Here is a 19,331-nt window from a genome sequence, read left to right as displayed (position 1 = left end):
TATTTTCTTACATAACTGTAATGCCACCATCACACCCAACAAAATGATAATTTGATGATACCATCTAATACCCAGTGTATAATCCAGGCAAATATCTCTTTATAGGGGCCTGTTTGAATCTGGATCTAACATGGCTCATACATCACACTGATTGTTGTATCTCTGAGTCTGTTTTGATCTACACCAGTCTCCCTGTCCCCCGAAATCCCCCAGTTTTTTCCCTGCCATTTACTTGTAGCAGAATCTGGGTCAGTTATCCTATAGAATTTCCACATTCTGGATCTGTTTGCTTCCTTATGGTGTCATTTAATTTGTGTCTTTATCCCTCACATTTCCTGTAAACTCTGTTAGCTCCAGAGGTCTGATTAGTTGAAGTTTAATTTTTTTGGCAGGAATTCTTCAAATGTGGGCTGTGTGCTTCACACTGCATCACACCAGGAGGCTGCAGTGCCTAGGTGTCTCACTTCTGGTGATACAAACATCAGCTGCCTTTGATGTTGTGAAGTTCCTAATTGACTTTTCAGGACGGTTTCATCCATTCATAATCTTTGCCTAATACAATCATATTTTTAGGTGCTGAAAAATTGTGATTTTCTAATTCTATCATCACTTCCGCATTTATTAGTTGGATTTTTTTCTATTAAAATTTTTTTCTCATCAGTTTGGACTATCTAGCTACCCTAAAATACTGTTCATGCAGGAAGGACAGGATAAACGCTTATTATTATTTATTGTTTTTTGAGACGGAGTCTTGCTCTGTCACCCAGGCTGAATTGCAATGGCGCAATCTCGGCTCACTGCAGCCTCCGCCTCCTGTGTTCAAGTGATTCTCCTGCCTCAGCCTCCAAGTAGCTGGGATTACAGGTGCATGCCACCACACCTAGCTAATTTTTGTATTTTTAGTAGAAATGGGGCTTCACCATGTTGGCCAGGCTGGGCTTGACCTGTCGACCTCAAGTGATCCACCTGCTTCAGCCTCCCAAAGTGCTGGGATTATGGGCGTAAGCCACCGCACCCAACCTATTCTTTTTTTTTTTTTTTTTTTGACTGAGAAATTTCTAGATAAGGAATTGGTGATTTAGAGAAAGGTTTTTTTTTTTCTTTCTTTTCCATTTTACATATAGAGAGGTTAAGACTCAGAAATGTAAAGTAAATTGTTCAAGATCTCCCAAATAGCTATTAAGGAGCAGAAATGGTATTCAATCCTATACTTTCTGGACTTAAAAGCATATGTTGTTTCCACTAAATTAAAATGCACCCCTGCCCTTGAATCTCCAATTGCAGACAGCTGGGGGTTGCTACCACAAATATCTCCCAGTGCTTTGCCCTTTAGGAACCAGATTAAAGAATCTCCTTTGTAAGCATTCTGCCTATATAAACTTAGGCAGTGCTACAGAACTGTAGCTCCAAATGGAGGTGCTGGCCTGGGTAGGCAAAGAGCTGGGCAGGGCCAGGAAACATGTATTTAGTAGGACAGGTTTTTGGGCATCACAGTTTGTGCTTTTAGGCTACTGCAGCAGCCCAAATGTGAGTTACACTAAGTTATGGCTGGAGCACATACATGTGACCAGAACATTTGGAGAGTTGTCAGAATTTAGTTCTAACCTTTCCTAAATATTCTCCCATTTCTCATGCCACCTCCTCAACCATTGTAGATTTGAGGGGAGAATTTAGCTCACTGCCTGTGTTAGTCCATTTGCATTGCTATGAATGAATACTCCAGACCTGGTAATCTATAAAGAAAAGAGGTTTATTTGGCTCATGGTTCTGCAGGCTGTACAAGCATGACACCAGCATCTACTGGACTTCTGGTAAAGGCTTAGGAAGCTCTTACTCATAGCTGTAAGGCAAAGGGGGAACAGGTGTGTCGCATGGTGAGTGAGGGAGCAAGAGAGATGCTGGCTCCTTAAACAACCAGCTCTTGTGTGAACTTATAAAGTAAGAACTCACTCATTACCATGGGAGGGCACCAAGCCACTCATGAAGGATCTGCTACTATGACTTAAACTCCTCCCATTAGGCCCCACCTCCAACACTGGGGATCACATTTCAACATGAGATTCGGAGGGGACAAACATCCCAACTATATCACTACCTAAACATTATCTTGCAATTCCTAAACTTCAGTTGACTGTATCCCTGACCTCTAGCCCCGCCCCATTCCAGGAGCTGTGGCCTTTTAGTACGGCTTACCTTGCTCATTGTGACTTTATTGCATTTTTTACAAATTAAAGGTTTGTGGCAACCCTGCATCAAGTGAGTCCATTGGTGCCATGTTTCCAACAGCGTGTGTTCACTTTGTGTCTCTATCACATTTTGGTAATTTTCACAATATTTCAAACCTTTTCATTACTATTTTATCTTTTTTTTCTTTTTCTTTTTCTTTTTTTTTTTTTGAGACAGGGTCTTGCTCTGTCACCCAGGCTGGAGTGCAGTGGCATAATCATGGCTCACTGCAGCCTTGGTCTCCCAGGCTGAAGCAATCCTCTGATCTCAGCCTCCCAAGTAGCTGGCACCACAAGTGTATGCCACCATGCCAGGCTAATTTTTGTATTTCTTGTAAAGACGGGGTTTCACCATGATGCCCAGGTTGGTCTCTAACTCCTGAGCTCAGGCAGTCTGCCTGCCTCAGCCTCCCAAAGTGCTGGGATTACAGGCATGAGCCATCATGCCCAGCCACTATTATGTCTCTTATGGTGATCTGCGATCAGTGATCTTTGATGTTTGGGGTGCCACGAATCACAACCACATAAGAGATAACTGATAAATGTTGTTATTCCAACTGCTTCATCGACTGGCTGTTCCCCCATCTCTCTTCCTTTCCTTGGGTTTCCCTATTTACTGAGACACAACAGTATTGAAATTAGGCCAATTAATAACCCAACAATGGCCTTTAAGTGTTCAAGTGAAAGGAATAGTCTCACATCTTTTATTTTAAATAAAAAGCTAGAAATGATTAAACTTAGTGAAGAAGGCATGTTGAAAGCTGAGATAGGTCAATAGCTAGGCCTCTTGTGCCAGCTGGCCAAGTTGTGAATGCAAAGGATAAGTTCTTGAAGGAAAATAAAAGTGTTACTACAGTGAACACATGAATGATATGAAAGCAACACAGCTTTATTGCTGATATGAAGAAAGTTTTAGTGGTCTGGATAGAAGATCAAACAAGCCATAACATTTCCTTAAGCCAAAGCCTAATCCAAAGAAAGGCTGTAATTCTTCCTCTATTCTGTGAAGGGTGAGAGAGCTGACAATGCTACGGAAGAAAAGTTGGAATCTAGCAGAGGTTGGTTCATGAGATTGAAGGAAAGAAGCTCCCTCCATAACATAAAAGTGCAAGGTAAAGCAGCAAGTGCTGATGTAGAAGCTGCAACAAGTTACCCAGGAGCCTGGCATCTCTAGCTAAGAGCAAGGATGAAGGTAGGCTGGCCATGGTGGCCATTCCTGTAATTCCAGCACTTTGGGAGACCGAGGTGGGAGGATTGCTTGAGCCCAGGAGTTTGAGACCAGCCTGGGCAATATAGTGAGACCCTGTCTCTACAAAAAATTTAAAGAAAAGGATGAAGGTGGCTACACTAAACAGATTTTCAGTGTTGATGAAACAACATTCTATTGGAAGAAGAGGCCATCTAGGAGTTTCATAGCTAGAGAGAAGTCAATGCCTGGCTTCAAAGAACAGGCTGATTCTCTTGTTAGGGGCAAATGCAACTGATGACCTTAAGTTGAAGTCAAATGCTTATTTACCATTCTGAAAATCCAAGGGCCTTTAGGAATTGTACTAAATCTACTCTGTCTGTGCTCTATAAATGCAACAACAAAGCCTGGATGACAGCACATCTGTTTACAGCATGGTTTACTGAATATCTTAAGCCCACTGTTGATACCTACTGCTCAGAAAAAAATATTCCTTTCAAAATATTCCTGCCCATTGACAATGCACCTTGCCACCCAAGAGCTCTGATGGAGATGTACAAGGAGATTAATGTTGTTTTCATGCCTGCTAACACAACATCCATTCTGCAGCCCATGGATCAAGGAGTAATTTTGGCTTTCACATCTTATTATTTAAGAAATACATTTTGTAAGGCTATAGCTGCCGTAGATAGTGATTCCTCTGATGGATCTGGAAAAAGTAAATTGAAAACCTTGTGGAAAGGATTTGCCATTCTAGATGCCATTAAGAACATTCATGATTCTTGGGGGGAAGTCAAAGTATCAACATTAAGAGGAGTTTGGAAGAAGTTGGTTCCAACCCTCATGGGTGACTTTAAGACTTTAGTGGAGGAAGTCACTGCAGATGTGGTGAAAATAGCAAGAAAACTAAAAGTAGAAGTGGAAACTGAAGATGTGACTGAATTGCTGAAATCTCGTGATAAAACTTGAATGGAGCCCAGCAAGGTGGTTCATGCCTGTAATCCCAGCACTTTGGGAGGCTGCAGCTGGCGGATCACTTGAGGCCAGGAGTTCAAGACCAACCTGGCCAACATAGTGAAACCCATCTCTGCTAAAAATACAAAAATTAGCTAGGAGTGGTGGAACACACCTGTAATCCCAGCTACTTGGGAGGCTGAGGCATGAGAATCACTTGAACCTGGGAGGCAGATGTTGCAGTGAGCATACATCATGCCAGTGCACTCCAGCCTGGGTGACAGAAGAAGATGCTGTCTCCAAAACAAACAAAAAAACCCAACAACTAGAACGGATGAGGAGTTACTTCTTATGGATGAAGCAATAAAAGAAGTTTCTTAATGTGGAATCTACTCCTGGTGATGATGCTGTGGACACTGTTGAAATGACAACACAAGATTTAGAATATTACATAAACTGAATTGATAAAGCAGCATCAGAGTTTGAGAGTATTGTTTCCAATATTGAAGTTTTACTGCGGGTAAAATACTATCAAACAGCATCACATGCTACAGAGAAATTTTCGTGAAAGGAAAAGCCAATTGATGCAGTAAACTTCACTGTGGTCTTATTTTAACAAATTACCACAGCCACTCCAGCCTTCGGCAGCCATCAGCCTGATCAGTCAGCAGCAATCAAGATGAAGGCCAGAATGTCCACCAGCAAAAAGATGATGACTTGCTGAAGCCTTAGCATTTTTTAGCAAAAAAGTTTTTGGTTTTTTTTGAGACAGGGTCTAGATCTGTCACCAAGGCTGGAGTACAGTGGCATGATCTCAGCTCATTGCAGCCTTGACCTTCCAGGCTCAAGTGATCCTCCCACCTCACCCTTTTCAGTAGCTGGGACTACAGGCATATGCCACCACACCCAAGTAATTTTGTTTATTTTTTGTAGAGTTGGTGTCTCACTATGTTGCCCAGGCTGGTCTCAAACTCCTGATCTCAAGCAATCCTCCCTCCTCAGCCTCCCTAAGTGTTAGGATTACAGGCGTGAGGCACTGCACCTGGCCAATAAAGTATTTTTAAATTAAGGTATATATATTGGTTTCTGCAGACATAATACTATTAAACACTTAAGAGATTACAGTATAATATAAACATAACTTTTATATGCACTGGGAAACCAAAAAATTTATGTGACTTGCTTTATTGTGATATTTGCCAGCGATATTTGCTTTATTGCTGTGGTCTGGAATCAAATCCACAATATCTCTGAGGTATGCCTGTACCTTAAAGCAGTGTTAATGAAACAGAAATCACTTAGGGCTAAAATAAACTTAGGAGATTTTCTTGGCTTTATGGTATCTACAATACCAGGAACTTCTAATGCTGGAGTCCCTACCTGACTCAGAGAAAGAACATTTCCCAGGCTGGGCGTGGTGGCTTATGCCTCAAATCCCAGCACTTTGGGAGGCTGAGGCAGGCAGATCACTTGAGGTGAGAAGTTTGAGACCAGCCTGGCCAACATGGTGAAACTCCGTTTACTAAAAATACAAAAATTAACCAGGTGTGGTAGCGGGTTCCTGTAATCCCAGCTACTCTGGAGGCTGAGGCAGGAGAATCCTTTGAACTCAGGAGGCTGAGGTTGCACTGAGCCAAGATCATGCCACTGCACTGCAGCCTGGGCGACAGCGTGAAACTCCATCTCAAAAAACAAACAAACAAAAAACCAGGCTGGGCACGTGGCTTATGCCTGTAATCCCAGCACTTTGGGAGGCTGAGGAGGGCAGATCACGAGGTCAGGAGTTCAAGACCAGCCTGGCCAGCATGGTGAAACCCTGTGTCTACTAAAAAAAAAAAAAAAAAAAAAAAAATTAGCCAGGCTTGGTGGCACGTGCCTGTAATCCAAGCTACATGGTGGGCTGAGGCAGGAGAATTGCTTGAACCCAGGAAGTGGAGTTTGCGGTGAGCCAAGATCGCACCACTACACTCCAGCCTGGGCGACAGAGCGAGACTCCATCTCAAAAAACAAACAAACAAAAAACCACCAAAACCAAAACATTTCCCAAGACTTTTTACACCCCAGTGGTACCCAGTCTTTTTTTAGTGTCTTCTGCATTTCATTTCCTCCATTAACATGGCAGCCTGAATTAGAATTAAACAAATAATACACCCTGAAATTGCAGTTGGGAAGGTCTCCTATGCTTATTGTGGCCAGAGGTCTCATCTCAGCTCTGATTTTGATGATCCGTGATACGGAACAAATAAAGAAGGCCTGCACTCCTGCTATCCCAGGCCAGCCCCAGAATTCCCTGAGCACCTACATTTCGTATATCAGACAAAAATGTATGCCATCTCTGTGTTTGCTTACAGGGGACTATAATTAGCTCCTAGAAAACAAGCAGAGGTCCGGTGAAGGAGTAATCTAGAAAAGCCCAGCAATTCTATATTTTGCCTTGAGAAGATAAAATCATATCCAGAGAATCCAGATATGAAGAATGGCAGAGGAAGATGAAAAATGTTCTATCATTTAGAGTAATCTCCAATTGTGTTTAAATATTAGGCTTCCTTATGTAGCATCTGGCCCAGAGCTGTCCAATAGAACTTTCTGTGGCGATGGAAATGTTCTTTATCTGTGCTGTCCAGTATGGAGACCACTAGCCATGTGTGGTTGTTAAGTACTTGAAATGTGACAAGTGCAACTAAAAAACTTCATTTTTCATTTTTTTCTTTTCTTTTTTTAGTTTTTGTAGAGATAGGAGTCTAACTATGTTGCCCAGGCTGTTCTCAAACTCCTGGCTTCACTCTATCCTCCTGTGTCAGCCTCCCAAAGTACTGGAATTATAGGTGTGAGCCACTGCCCTGGCCCATTTTATTTAATTTTAGTCAATTAAAACTTTAGTTCTAGAGATAAATCCTAATTAAAATTTTAATTGATTAGAATTAAATTTTAATAGCATACATAGCTAGGGGCTACTGTATTAGACAGTGTGGTTACTGGCCCTTGCCCTCCTAACTTTTTATACCTTCTAACAATATTTACAAGTTGGGGCTATTATAACATTGTTCAAAAATTGAAGGCACCAATTTCATTAATCCTACATATACATTTCCACTGTGAAATTAGATTTGTAATGGGTTAGAAATTCAAGCCTGCTTGTATCAAGGCAAGCTTTTATTGTGAGACTAACTTCAATGGAGCATTCATTCTGTTTAAGCTTTGATGTTTAAAATTTGTATAAATCATGTGCTTTAGTGGTGATGGTTGCACAACAGTGTGCAACTTCATGCCACTGATCTGGACACTTAGAAATGACTAAAATGATGAGTTCTATGTTAAATATGTTTTACCACAGCAAAAAAATTATATGCTTTGGTTTTTAAAATTTGGCTTGATTGTGATTTTCTTTGGTTAAAATTCCCTCTGCCACAGGCCTTGCTGAGGATCTGGTGCTGCATGTTCCTGGCTGCAGCGTGTTTCTCTTTGGCGAAGCTGACCTGCCTGAGAAGCGCAGTCTTGTGCAGAGAAGGAAGCAGCTGGGCTGGTTCACGAGGAGGGATTTCAGTGCTCTTCAGCCTGACCTGGGAGCTGCCCCTTCCCAAAGATGTGGTTTAACAGGTTCTGAGCATGGTTTTTGCTTTGCTCTGTTTTTTTTTTTTTTTTAAACTTGAGGTCCCCTTTATGAGCCACACCCTGTTAATGCAGGAAGAGTTATAGGGGTGGCTGCTTCTTGAAATGGGTGAGGCTCTCCTTTCTGCTGTTACTCTCACCCAGGCCCTTTTAAGCTAACCTGTGAGCCTAGAAGCTCCCGTCAAGTATTTGATGAGGGCCCCCAGAAGTGATATTCAAGATATATCATTAGCCCTGCAACGTGATCACTGATGAAAAGAATGCTCGTAGCTCCTGGCACTGGGGCAGGGTCCTGGAGGCCCCTGTCTGTGAATGGTGTGGGGTGTGTCCTAGGGTGTGATGGAGACACCTGGAGAGGGAGGACTTAGGGAGAGATCACTTCTAGCTGGTAGGAAGGTCTTTCAATACTTAAACATCAGTGTAGCCAAGTTGGTGCTTACAGCTGGAAATCAGTTCTAGAGGAACCCTGGAAAAAAGCTGTTCTAGATAACGGACTTCTAGAATGCAGAGACCAAAGACTGGAAAAAGAAACTATTCCTTCCCCTGGCTTTTATCAACTTTTGCCTCTCTGTGCTGCTCCTGCCCTCACTCCCTGCCCCACCCTAAGGGATGTGTCAGGAAAAGGTGGAACTCCTCTCTGTTGTCTGTACTTCCACCATCCTAGTGTCACTTATTTGAGTCTTAATTGTTCCATTTTCAGACTCTGTTGGGGCCACAAATTAAACCATGTAAGGTCACATTTTGATGGTCAGTCAATAACTTAAGCAGTTACCAAAATACTAGGTATCCAAGGAGCGAGAGGTGGGCGAGCATAAGAAACACATTTCTCATGGCACAGCTCTGCCAAAGCCCTGCAGAATCATTTACACATAGGTCTTTGGTTAGTAGCCCCTGGCACAGAATTCTGATCTTAAACAAATATTGTCTATAATCAAGTAGAGCAATGCAATTAAAAAAAAAAAGCACAGGTTTTGGGGCCATGCTGAAATCCCAGCCTTGCTATTTGCTGGCTGTGTGACCGTGGTTCCTTGGTCTCATTATGCTTTGGTTCCCGTATCTATAAAACGGACGTAATAATGTCTCCCTCTCATTATTGTGAAGTCGAAATGATGTCTGTAAAGTGCCCAACACAGTACTAAAGGGCTATTTTTTTCTTCCCTATGAAGATGAGATTTAATAAAAGTGATATTACAAATGTATTTCATTCAACATTTTGTCATAGAAAAAAGGAAGAGACTGATTGCTCTCTGCCAATTTGAACCTCACATATTTTCCCATGATTTGTCTCACAAATGGAGAAGTGTAAAGTTTTATGACTAAATTTTCAGAAATCCATTTCCTGGTTTCTAATTTGAGCCTCCCTAAAGACTGAAGAGATTATACCGCAGATGTAGTCACTTCAGTGCCAGGTGGACTGGTATTGCAGTCAGGTGGACGGGAATTAGACATAGGTATACTGCTGTGAGATCATTAGGTTAAGCAAACACTTGAATAACTTAATTCTCATTTTTGCAGTGCTGTTAGAATAAATGGGTCTATATTTGGGAAAAACTTTAACCTGATATAAAAATCATATGTGAGTTAAAGACCAAATGCTAATATTATCACTAATTATGTTTAGTTTCCTAAGAACAAACTTGATATGTAGTTGTTTAAACTAAAGGGAGGATTGCTTCCCAATCTGATCTATCACCTGCCTGTGGTTGGATAATCTGTGTCTCTGCCTCATCATTATCTATTTTATATTGTTTGATTTGAAATGGTCAACACACTGGGATTTCTGATTTTTTCTTTTTCTTACTTTTTTTTTTTTTTTGAGACAGGGTCTCATGGCATTTGCCTAGGCTGGAGTACAGTGGTGCGATCTCGGCTCACTGCAGCCACAACTTCATGGGCTCAGGTGATTCCCCCACCTCATCCTTCCAAGTATATTTTGTAGAGACAGGGTTTCACCATGTTGCCCAGGCTGGTCTCAAAACTCTTGGACTCAGGCCATCTACCCACCTTGGCCTCCCAAAGTCCTGGGATTATAGGCGTGACCCCCCGTGCCTGGCCCATGATTTTATTCTCTGTTTTTACTCACATGGAGATCTGTAATTTACATAAAAAAATTCATAAAAATCTGCAAATCCCACGTTAAAACATTAAGATGCCAAAATTGGCACAATGAATGTTTAAAGATGATATTTTAAAGGTAATATTTAATACTGGGGAAGATGTAGTTAGAGACATTTACACTGTTAATGATAGTATAAATTGGTATAAACTTTTTAGAAGTGAGCTTGTGATATGTGCGAAGAGCTCTAAAAATGTATATAACTGCCTTTCAGGAATTCTAGATCTAGAGATAAATCCTAAGGAAATAGTAAAAGGTATATGTACAAGTATGTTTATCAAAGCATTATTTATAATAGCAAATACTGAAAATAATGGAAATGTTTGCTATTTGGGTATGTTTATGTAAACTATGGCATACTCAAGCATGATGTTTTAGAAGAACTTTCAGAGACATAGAAAATGCAATCTAATGTAGAGAGAATTTACAGTTAAATTAGTTAATGAAACAGATATTAAGTACCTACTATGTGCTAAGCAGTATCACCAGCGGGCAAAATAGAACTTATCTGTCCTCAAAGAACTTACATTGTAGTTGGGGAGGGGCAAAGAGACAGACGATAAATAAAAGCCTTAATAAACAAATGAATTATATAGTACATTAGAAAATAACAAGTGCTACAGCCAAAATAAATATTGAACAGGACAAGGGCATTAAGAGTTCTAGAATGGGGCCGTATTGTGATTATAAGTGGAATAATCCAAATTAGGCTTCATTGTAAAGGCAATATTAGAGCAAAGACTTGAAGGAGTGAGGCCACTAGCCACGTGGAGATGTGGAGGAGAGTTTTAGGCAGAGGGAATAGCCAGTGCAAGGGATACCAGGTAGTATAGGCAGCATGATCTCAATATTGTAAAATATATATGTACATATTTTGTTTATATTATATGTAAGAAAAACATTTTTATATTCTTAAAGCTTCCAACATATTTTCATAATATCTCTAAATCAACCCTGTGATTATTTCCATCATCTTCCCTGAAGGGTAATTAGTAAGATTTATTAGTGGTCAATTTTATAAAAGCTAAGTTTCAGTGCCTGTATTCAGATTATATTTGATGGCATATTCATGATAAGAAGGGAAAAGGAGCACAGCTTTTCCCCTATATGCCTTTTTTCACTGGTAGCCATGACCAAGGGTAGAAACCTTAGCTTGTGGAAGAAACAGGAAAATTACAGTTTGCCAAGTTTGGGCAGTCTGTTTGTCCATCATTTAGTAGGCTCAAAGCAGGTGCTAATAGCAGAAAAATAAAGTATTTCAAGGAGGATCAGTGAATAAGGGATGTGAATAAACAATTAGTTTCTAATATTCCTCACACCAGATAGTAGAGTTTAAGACTTTCTACTAAAATATTAGGTTACCTTAATTGCACATATTCTTCCTTAAAAAATAATCCAGAAAGAAGTAAATTGCTTTCTTTCTTTCTTTCTTTCTTTTTTTTTTGAGATGGAGTCTCGCTCTGTCACCCAGGCTGGAGTGCAGTGGTGTGATCTCAACTCACTGCAACTTCCGCCTCCTGGGTTCAAGCGATTCCCCTGCCTCAGCCTCCCGAGTGGCTGGGACTACAGGCACGTGCCACCATGCATGGATAATTTTTTGTATTTTAGTAGAGACGGGGTTTCACCATGTTGGCCAGGATGGTCTCGAACTCCTGACCTCGTGATCTGCCCACCTCGGCCTCCCAAAGTGCTGGGATTACAGGCATGAGCCACTGTGCCTGGCCATAAATCGCTTTCATTTTTTGAAGCAATATCTACTGAAGTAGAATTTATAACACCTCTTTCTTTAGGGTAGAAATGTTATTCATCTAATTTTTCAATGAATTTGGTTCCCAACAATAGCGATTTCCCTCTTGTTTAAATTTAATTGGCTTTATATATTTTTCTAACTTTTTTTTTGGTTATGTCAGTGTTTCCTAACATATTTTTCCCTCCCACCAAAACAGAAAAACCTCAACACATTGTTGCTATGTTTATGTTTTTCCCTACAAAAATGAAATAGAAATGATTGGCGCTATCAACTGTACAGTACAGTCAACAATCCAGGACAAATTAATTTGCACAGTACCAGAGAGGAAGCAGAATCTATAAGGAAACAGGTTTCTGTTTTGAAGTTCCCAAAGAATATTATAAACAGAAGAGAAAAAGAAGTGAGCTCAGAAATGATTAACACCCATAGTCAGTGCCAAACACACAAAATCTTTTAAGCCAAATTCCTTTTAAAAGTTTGTAGTTGGCCAGCTTGTGGGGAACATAAATAAGGGCAAAGCAGTAATAGTTGATACTTTTAGATCTATAAATAAATACTTTATACATATATATTTAAAATCCTAAACATTTATGGGGTAATTTAAACACTGCTGTCTGATATGTTGTATGAATGGCCTGCATGTATGCATCATTGTTTAAAAATGCAGGGAAAATTCTTTGAACTGTAGTTTCATATGATGCCCTAGGAGTCAGAGATGGAGGTAATTGGTACATCTTGGAATCAGGGGCTTCTGTTTAGTTATTTAAATGGGTTACTGAGCACTTTCCTGCTTACTTCTTTCTACTATAAATAAGAAATGCATCATCAGGCACTTTTCTTGACATTGAATACTCCAATTTACTCCACACCAAAACTTTATCTGGTATTTGAAAAATAATTTCTAGTTTTAGAATGAGTCTCGTTTTAGGGAGCCTATTTTTAAAAATCATTTGCTGATGCTGGCTAGGAAGCCTAGTTGGGATGATGAAAAATGAAAGTCTCAATGTGTCACTAAGCATGTAACCTATAATTGGAGCATGAAGGACTTAAGACTTTGCCTGAACTCAGGGAGGGCACTGTTCTATTATTGAAAAACCTGACAGCAGGCAAGTTACTTGAGTTTCCCTCTTATCTGGACTGGCTTAATTATGGGAGGTAAATTTGTACCTATGTTTGTAATCTCTTCTGAATTATTTCTACTCTGAAAGATTTAAAGGCAATAGAATGAGGTTCACAATGCCTCACAGAGCAAGGAAACGTCATAACCATTTTACAGAAAGAGAGCTGAGCAGAGGCAGTGTCCTGTTGAGGTGGAACTTGAATTTGGACCCACGGGAGTACTTCCTAGCCCTGTGGCACGTGGTTCTCACTTAGCTTTCTTTTCTGTGGATTCAGCCACACGGAGACAAGTCCTGCATTCTTCCCGCCATGGGAGCATTGGACTTAGCAATTATGTTTGAGTTTTATGGCTTTAGTCATCAAATGTCCTGTTTCAGCTGTGGTTTCCCTTTAGTGCATGGTCTAAAAAATTTAAAATACCAATATATAATGATAACTAATTGTTTTTGGTATAATAACTGTTTATGTTTTTGAACCTGAGTTCTGAGTCTGGTTGCCTTGCTCTGTTTGTTACTCTGAAGCAAAGTCCACATTTAGGCTAGGGTTTTACCTTATTTTAACTTTCTTCCTGTTTTTATACTCAGCAACCTGCATGGTTCCTGGCACTCACCAGGTTTTCAGTAAAAAAGTATTTTTTTTTTTTTTTTTTTTTTTTTTTTTTTGAGACAGAGTCTCGCTCTGTCACCAGGCTGGAGTGCAGTGGCAAGGCGATCTCTGCTCACTGCAACCTCTGCCTCCTGGGTTCAAGTGATTCTCCTGCCTCAGCCTCCTGAGTAGCTGGGACTACAGGCACGCGCCACCATGCCCAACTAATTTTTGTATTTTCAGTAGAGACGGGGTTTCACAATATTGGCCAGGCTGGTCTCGAACTCCTTACCTTGTGATCCGCCTGCCTCGACCTCCCAAAGTGCTGGGATTATAGGTATGATCCACCGCACCCAGCCTGGTAACAAAGTATTTAATGAGGGAGTTGAATTGGTTGAAAAGAATCTGTTTATTCAAACTGTAATGCAGTCCACAAATTTGAAGTTTTCTCTTTAGATATAAAAGTGCTAAATATCCTAAAACACCATCCCAGCTCTCTCCTCATGTATGCTTTAATACTGGCCACCAAAGAGGAGTATAATATAATGAATGGAACTTCTGAAGACACCCCTAAACAACTTTGGCACTCCTAAAGTGAAACACTTTTCTGTAGAGTTAAAATATATAGAATCCTTTCACCTTTAATTGATTGAAAATGATGGTGCCTGGAACTATTTTTGAGAATAATTTTGATCTAAAGGGAAAAAAAATACATGTGTTTCTTCTGAGTGCTGCTTTTCCATTTTCCTAATGGGCTCTTCGCTATTGTTTTGTCTGAATGCAGTTTTTTATTTGTGTTATTCCAGACATGGTCCTACCACAAGCATCTTTAAACCAGACATTAATAGCATAGTTCACAGTCATTACTGCCAGTGCTCAAACACAAATATTGCATTTGTGTTTGCAAAAGCTACACATCAGATGTTAATTAAGTGCATTTGGTTTTTTTCTGCTTAAACAATCTGGCATAAAGAGTTTACATCCATATCAGTTCACCATAAGGTCTCAACAATATCTAAATCACCAGCCATACAGTATATGATAAATACAGTGTTTCCACACAAGAAAATAACAGAATTGTCAGGAAGACATCAGGCCTGTTATATTTCTCTGTGAAATAATAGCGACTGAATCTCAGTTTCTTTTTCTTTTTGATAAAAAAATATTTAACTAGGAGTAAACACCAATATTTAGAATGATAAATTTTTCATTAAAGCACACATGGAAAACGAAATCATACCAAAGATTTTTTTCCTTGTTTTTAGCTTGCTTCAGGGCGTTGTGACAGTTGTGTTGGAAGAAAATTGGAATTTCAGCCTTGCAGTGAGGGGATCCGTGCTGCCACCAGAGCAGCTGAGTGCCAATCTGCGGGAGGCGGGAGTGGAGCGAAACTGCAAACTGAGAAACAAACTTTCACATCAGGTTTCTAATTTTAGAGCAAAAAGTGGAATTACTTTAATTATATGACATTTAACTAGAAATACGATTTGCTGGGATTAATTATCTCTCTCATTTAAAATACCTTCTTAGTAGGTTTAAATTAACATAAAAAATCAAATTCAGCATTTAAATAAGGTCAATGGGACTGCTGGATTTAAACACAGAATTTGATTCAGTATAATTGGATCACCGTATTGGTTTTGACTTGGAAGGATTAAATGGAGGAAATTGGAAAAGCGTGAATTTGGGCAGAAAGAGAAATTTTCTCTTCTTTTTCTTTCTTTCTTCTTTCACCTTCCAAGGGAGAGAAGTTTCCCCACCTTGGAGAGGAAACTACTACCCTGATTAGGTCAGAAACATCTCAGATTCATTAATTGTCTCCGTTTTATCACTACTTGAATAAGAAATAGTAATAAAACAAAAATATTGTGTAACTAAAGCTTACTAGAAGAATTTAAAATACATATAACAAGGGTCTGTTTGAAAAATGATTATTCTGTGTTAAGTGATTACCTCTTATTTTATTTAAAAGCATATGAAAGTTATTTCTGATGTTTTATTTTGCTTAAAAAATGAACTTTATGCTTTTGAAGGAATTTTAAAAATAAGAGTTTCATTTCAATCAAGTAAGTCGCTGTTGGGACACTGAACAGTGTACGTGTCATGTTCTTTATTGAACTCTTGTCCTTAGGGCTTATGTCTAAGCTTACTTTATCTTTAATAATTTGTCTTAGGCAATGAGTTCATTTATAGCAAGAATGATCAACTTTGGAAATTCTACTAACAGGGGGAAGTTATTAGACATGCAATGGAAGAGGATGTCTTGGAATTTGCTGGGTGAGGGATTCAGGAAAAGTCCCAGGGCTACAGGGATGGAATGACCCATGTCATGGGGAAAGCCCCAAGTCCACATGCAGGAACTTCCTTTGAAAGTGACTTGCTCCCTCAGGCTGATGAATTGCATGTGAATAACTGAATGTGACTGGGCATATCAAAGCTATGGGACAGCAAAGCGTAATGGTGAAGCACTACAGGCCTGGTAAGGATTTTGAATAGTCATGCTGATGTAACCCCCAGTGTTATATACTCTTCAGCAAAACCTGAGTGTGATCCAACTATTTGTTGGAACGATGGTAAAGATATTACCATTCCTTGAGTCAAAATAGGATAAGTACATTAGATTTTAGGACATAAGGCTATTTGTAACATGACTTATTGGGGGGTAAATGAGAGAAAAATGTTTGGAAGTTTTCTGTTAAAGAGTGGCAACATTAAGATTGACAAAAATTCCAATTATACTCTGTGCAATGTTAAAACTGATATAATTCTTAAAGATATTTAGGGTAAGTGATTGGGACATGAGATGATGAGAGAGAGATGTATTGACTGTTAGGAAATTTAATTTTTATGAAATCAGCATTATGGGGAAATACTGTAATCTGATTCATTCCTGCAGAATTCCCAGGAGGAAGAGGCCCAGCCTCGGGAGTTGAAATGTTTCATTATGTACATGTGTGGGAAAAAGATGAAATGTGGTTTCCGTGTGCTGATTTTCTGTAAAACATCTATTAGTATGAGAGTAGCCAGGCTAGGCAACAAAGCCCCCAAACCATCGTAGTCTAGGGAAAAGTGAACCCAGAAGGCATTTCTCTGATGGATGCTGACATCAGGAGCAATAAGTTTGAAAGTAGCAAGAAAAAGTAATGACAGTAAAATAATGTTGAAATAGTAGCTAAGGAATGATCACATGCTGAAGATGAGGTCAGTCCTTTATTCCTCATCAATCCCTGCTTAACTTTGCTTTTAGAAATGTAAGGTTCCCCAAAAATGAGGAAACTGCAAATGTAAGCTTTTTATACCAATGCTAATTTAACCAAGTTGTCCATCTTATAGTGTAAACTATAATTAGAGCCACGCTATTTATGTAATGTGAGCCGCACCATCCCTGAGACAGGGAAAGGCGGGACATTTGCCCCTGAGCTCTAGAGTAACAGGGCTCTAGAGTGTCAATGGCCATCTCAGCCTCTTGTATAGCTGGGGATGGAAGAAAGAGGTGCCTCCAACAGGTTTCACAAAGAGAAAGGCACGAGGTTTATAAGTCTGTGTGAGGGAACTCTTTTGTCTTGTTTGGCTCCAAACCCTGCCAAACTCACATCATCACAAAACACGTGAGTCCCTTTGCTTTTCCCAGTTCCAAGGCTGTTTGTTAGTTTTTAGTGACCTCTTTCCCTAATTAAGACTGGTTTTGAGATTCATTTTAATCTGATATTAACCTAATTCAATAATGACAGGAGTTTGTTTCGGAGAGAGGGAGTGGTGGGTACAGAGGTGTGATTTACTCCTGTCTCTGAGACTCTTAGGCCTGTCATTGAATTCAAGCCCCCATGGAGATGGCCTTGGAAATGAATGAAGGTCTAAGGCCTGTTGCTGCTGATGACGCTTAGCTCTTAACCGTGCTTTTCTTTCTCTGTTGGTATTTTGGAAAGTTCGAGCTCTTTTAGGAAAAAAAAAATCCTTCGGATAGTTTAGAGTAGATAAAGTTACCTGATTATAGCCTAAATACTTTTGTTATGGAAAAAAATATTATCAGCAAAATAAAATCAGATACTAAGTGACTAAAAAATGGGAGGGTTACCAAAAAAAAAAAAAATCAGGTACTAAGTGACTAAAAAATGAGAGGGTTACAAAATATAATCTCTCTTTCAAAGCATGATTGTTCATTCTTGCCTTACTACTTTTAAGATGATCTGCTGCTCATAAACCAGATATAGAATTTTGAAATGTTTATATTGGGGAGATGGCATGATGGTGTTGGGCATGACTTCAAGGAAGTACTTATTCTTTTGGAATTCAGATGGAAAGTCTAAAGGTTTAGAGAACATACTGTTTTTGAGCAAAGAGAAGGGTATTGGCAGAAGAAATTTTATTTGAAAGAAAAGAAAATTTGTAGCCTTTTTGTATACTAAAAGAAGCTATGTGTCAATGATGGCAATTTTAATTAAATCCTTAGTATTTATATTGTTCTAGTATCAGATGCTCCCCATAAAGCACAGAGAAATGAATTTTTCCACAAATTGAGTTTAGCAAGAAAGACTGTGATCTTCTTTAATAAGAGCGCAAAATGTGAATTTATTTTAAGGAATTAAAAATAAAGAGTTTGGCTGGGTGTGGTGGCTCATTCCTGTAATCCCAGCACTTTGGGAGGCCAAGGTAGGAGGATCACTTGAACCCAGGAGTTTGAGACCAGCTTGGTCAATGTAGTGAGACTATCTCTATTAGAAAAAAAAAAGTTAAAAAAAAAAAAGGCCGAACTCAATCTTTTTATAGGATCCAGTGATCTAATTTTTTTTACTTACATTTGATTCTTGAATCTGACTGCATTTATATTATTCTGGAATTCCAATTCTGTGTGTGTTTTCTCTGTCAATATGATTACAACGAAGATGGAAAAGATGATGGACTAGGTATGGTTTTTAGACGTGAGGAATTTTAGTTGCTCTGGTGAAGAGAGAAAATGCTGTCCAGTTAGACCTGATAGGTCTGTCTCTCAGTCTCTGAGAGGTGAGAAGCAGCAGTGCCCAGGTCTTGCCTTGCTTTGGCGGAGGCTGTGTGGCCCGATAGAAGGAACAGCAGACAGTGGTTTGGAGGGCTTGAGTTCAGTCCTTGCTCTTATTTTTCATGTAGCCATAATTTCATTAGCTATGAAATAGGACAAATCGTTCCCTCCCCAACTAGGGGAATAAATGTCTATAAGCTGTAATGTACAAATGAAATGTATTATTAATAGTTTTTCTAGGTCTATTCTAGAGCTTTGCTTTAGTTTTGAGCATCAGTATTAAACAGATGAGAGGGGATAAAAGCACATGGTGCCACTGATTCATATTGGGTTGTAGGGGTTGATTCATTTGCCGGTTACCTGAATTAACCTCTCCAGGTTCCTGTCACAGCATTACAGGCTGCTGGCTTTGAGCAAGGCCTATTTAAAACCAAACATCTTTTTAATGGGTACAGTGTGTCATTTGGAAAGATGAAAAATGTTCTGGAGATGGATGATGGTGCTTGGTTGCACAACAGTGTGAATGTACTTAATTCCACTGAATTATACACTTAAAAATGGCTAAAGTGGCAAATTGTATGTTATGCACATTGTGTTTTATAATTAAAAAAGAACAAAAAGTATGTATTTATCCCACAAAAGTTAAGAAAAAAATACAAAAATCCCCTCATATCTGAATAAGATAACTTTACTAAGTCCATTGTCTTAGTCCATTCTTGTATTGCTATAAAGAAATACCTGAGACTAGGCAATTTATAAAGAAAAGAGATGTAATTGGCTCATGGTTCTGC

General features: G+C 39.4%; 1 protein-coding gene across 31 annotated transcripts in view; it reads left to right on the top strand.

Annotated features, from left to right (window-relative positions):
- Nucleotides 1-19,331, top strand: part of FTCDNL1 (formiminotransferase cyclodeaminase N-terminal like) — a 187,358-nt gene that overhangs the window by 23,659 nt on the left and 144,368 nt on the right. For 6 of the 31 annotated variants that reach the window (XM_024452852.2, XM_047444164.1, XM_024452855.2 and 3 more), the window contains exon 4: nt 7,777-7,962. The exons of 13 other annotated variants lie outside the window; for them this stretch is intronic. In XM_024452852.2, coding sequence (XP_024308620.1) covers nt 7,777-7,962 — 186 coding nt within the window. Of the gene's footprint in view, nt 1-3,234; nt 3,488-7,776; nt 9,174-9,797; nt 9,875-14,809; nt 18,263-19,331 lie in introns of those variants that run through there. 12 more of the 31 variants (XM_047444166.1, XM_047444165.1, NM_001363886.2 and 9 more) reach the window with 6 other exon arrangements.

The sequence above is a fragment of the Homo sapiens genome, chromosome 2, assembly GCF_000001405.40.
Source record: "Homo sapiens chromosome 2, GRCh38.p14 Primary Assembly".
NCBI lineage: Eukaryota > Metazoa > Chordata > Mammalia > Primates > Hominidae > Homo > Homo sapiens.
Note: the sequence above shows the minus strand (reverse complement) of the source record. Positions and strands in the feature narration are given on the sequence as shown.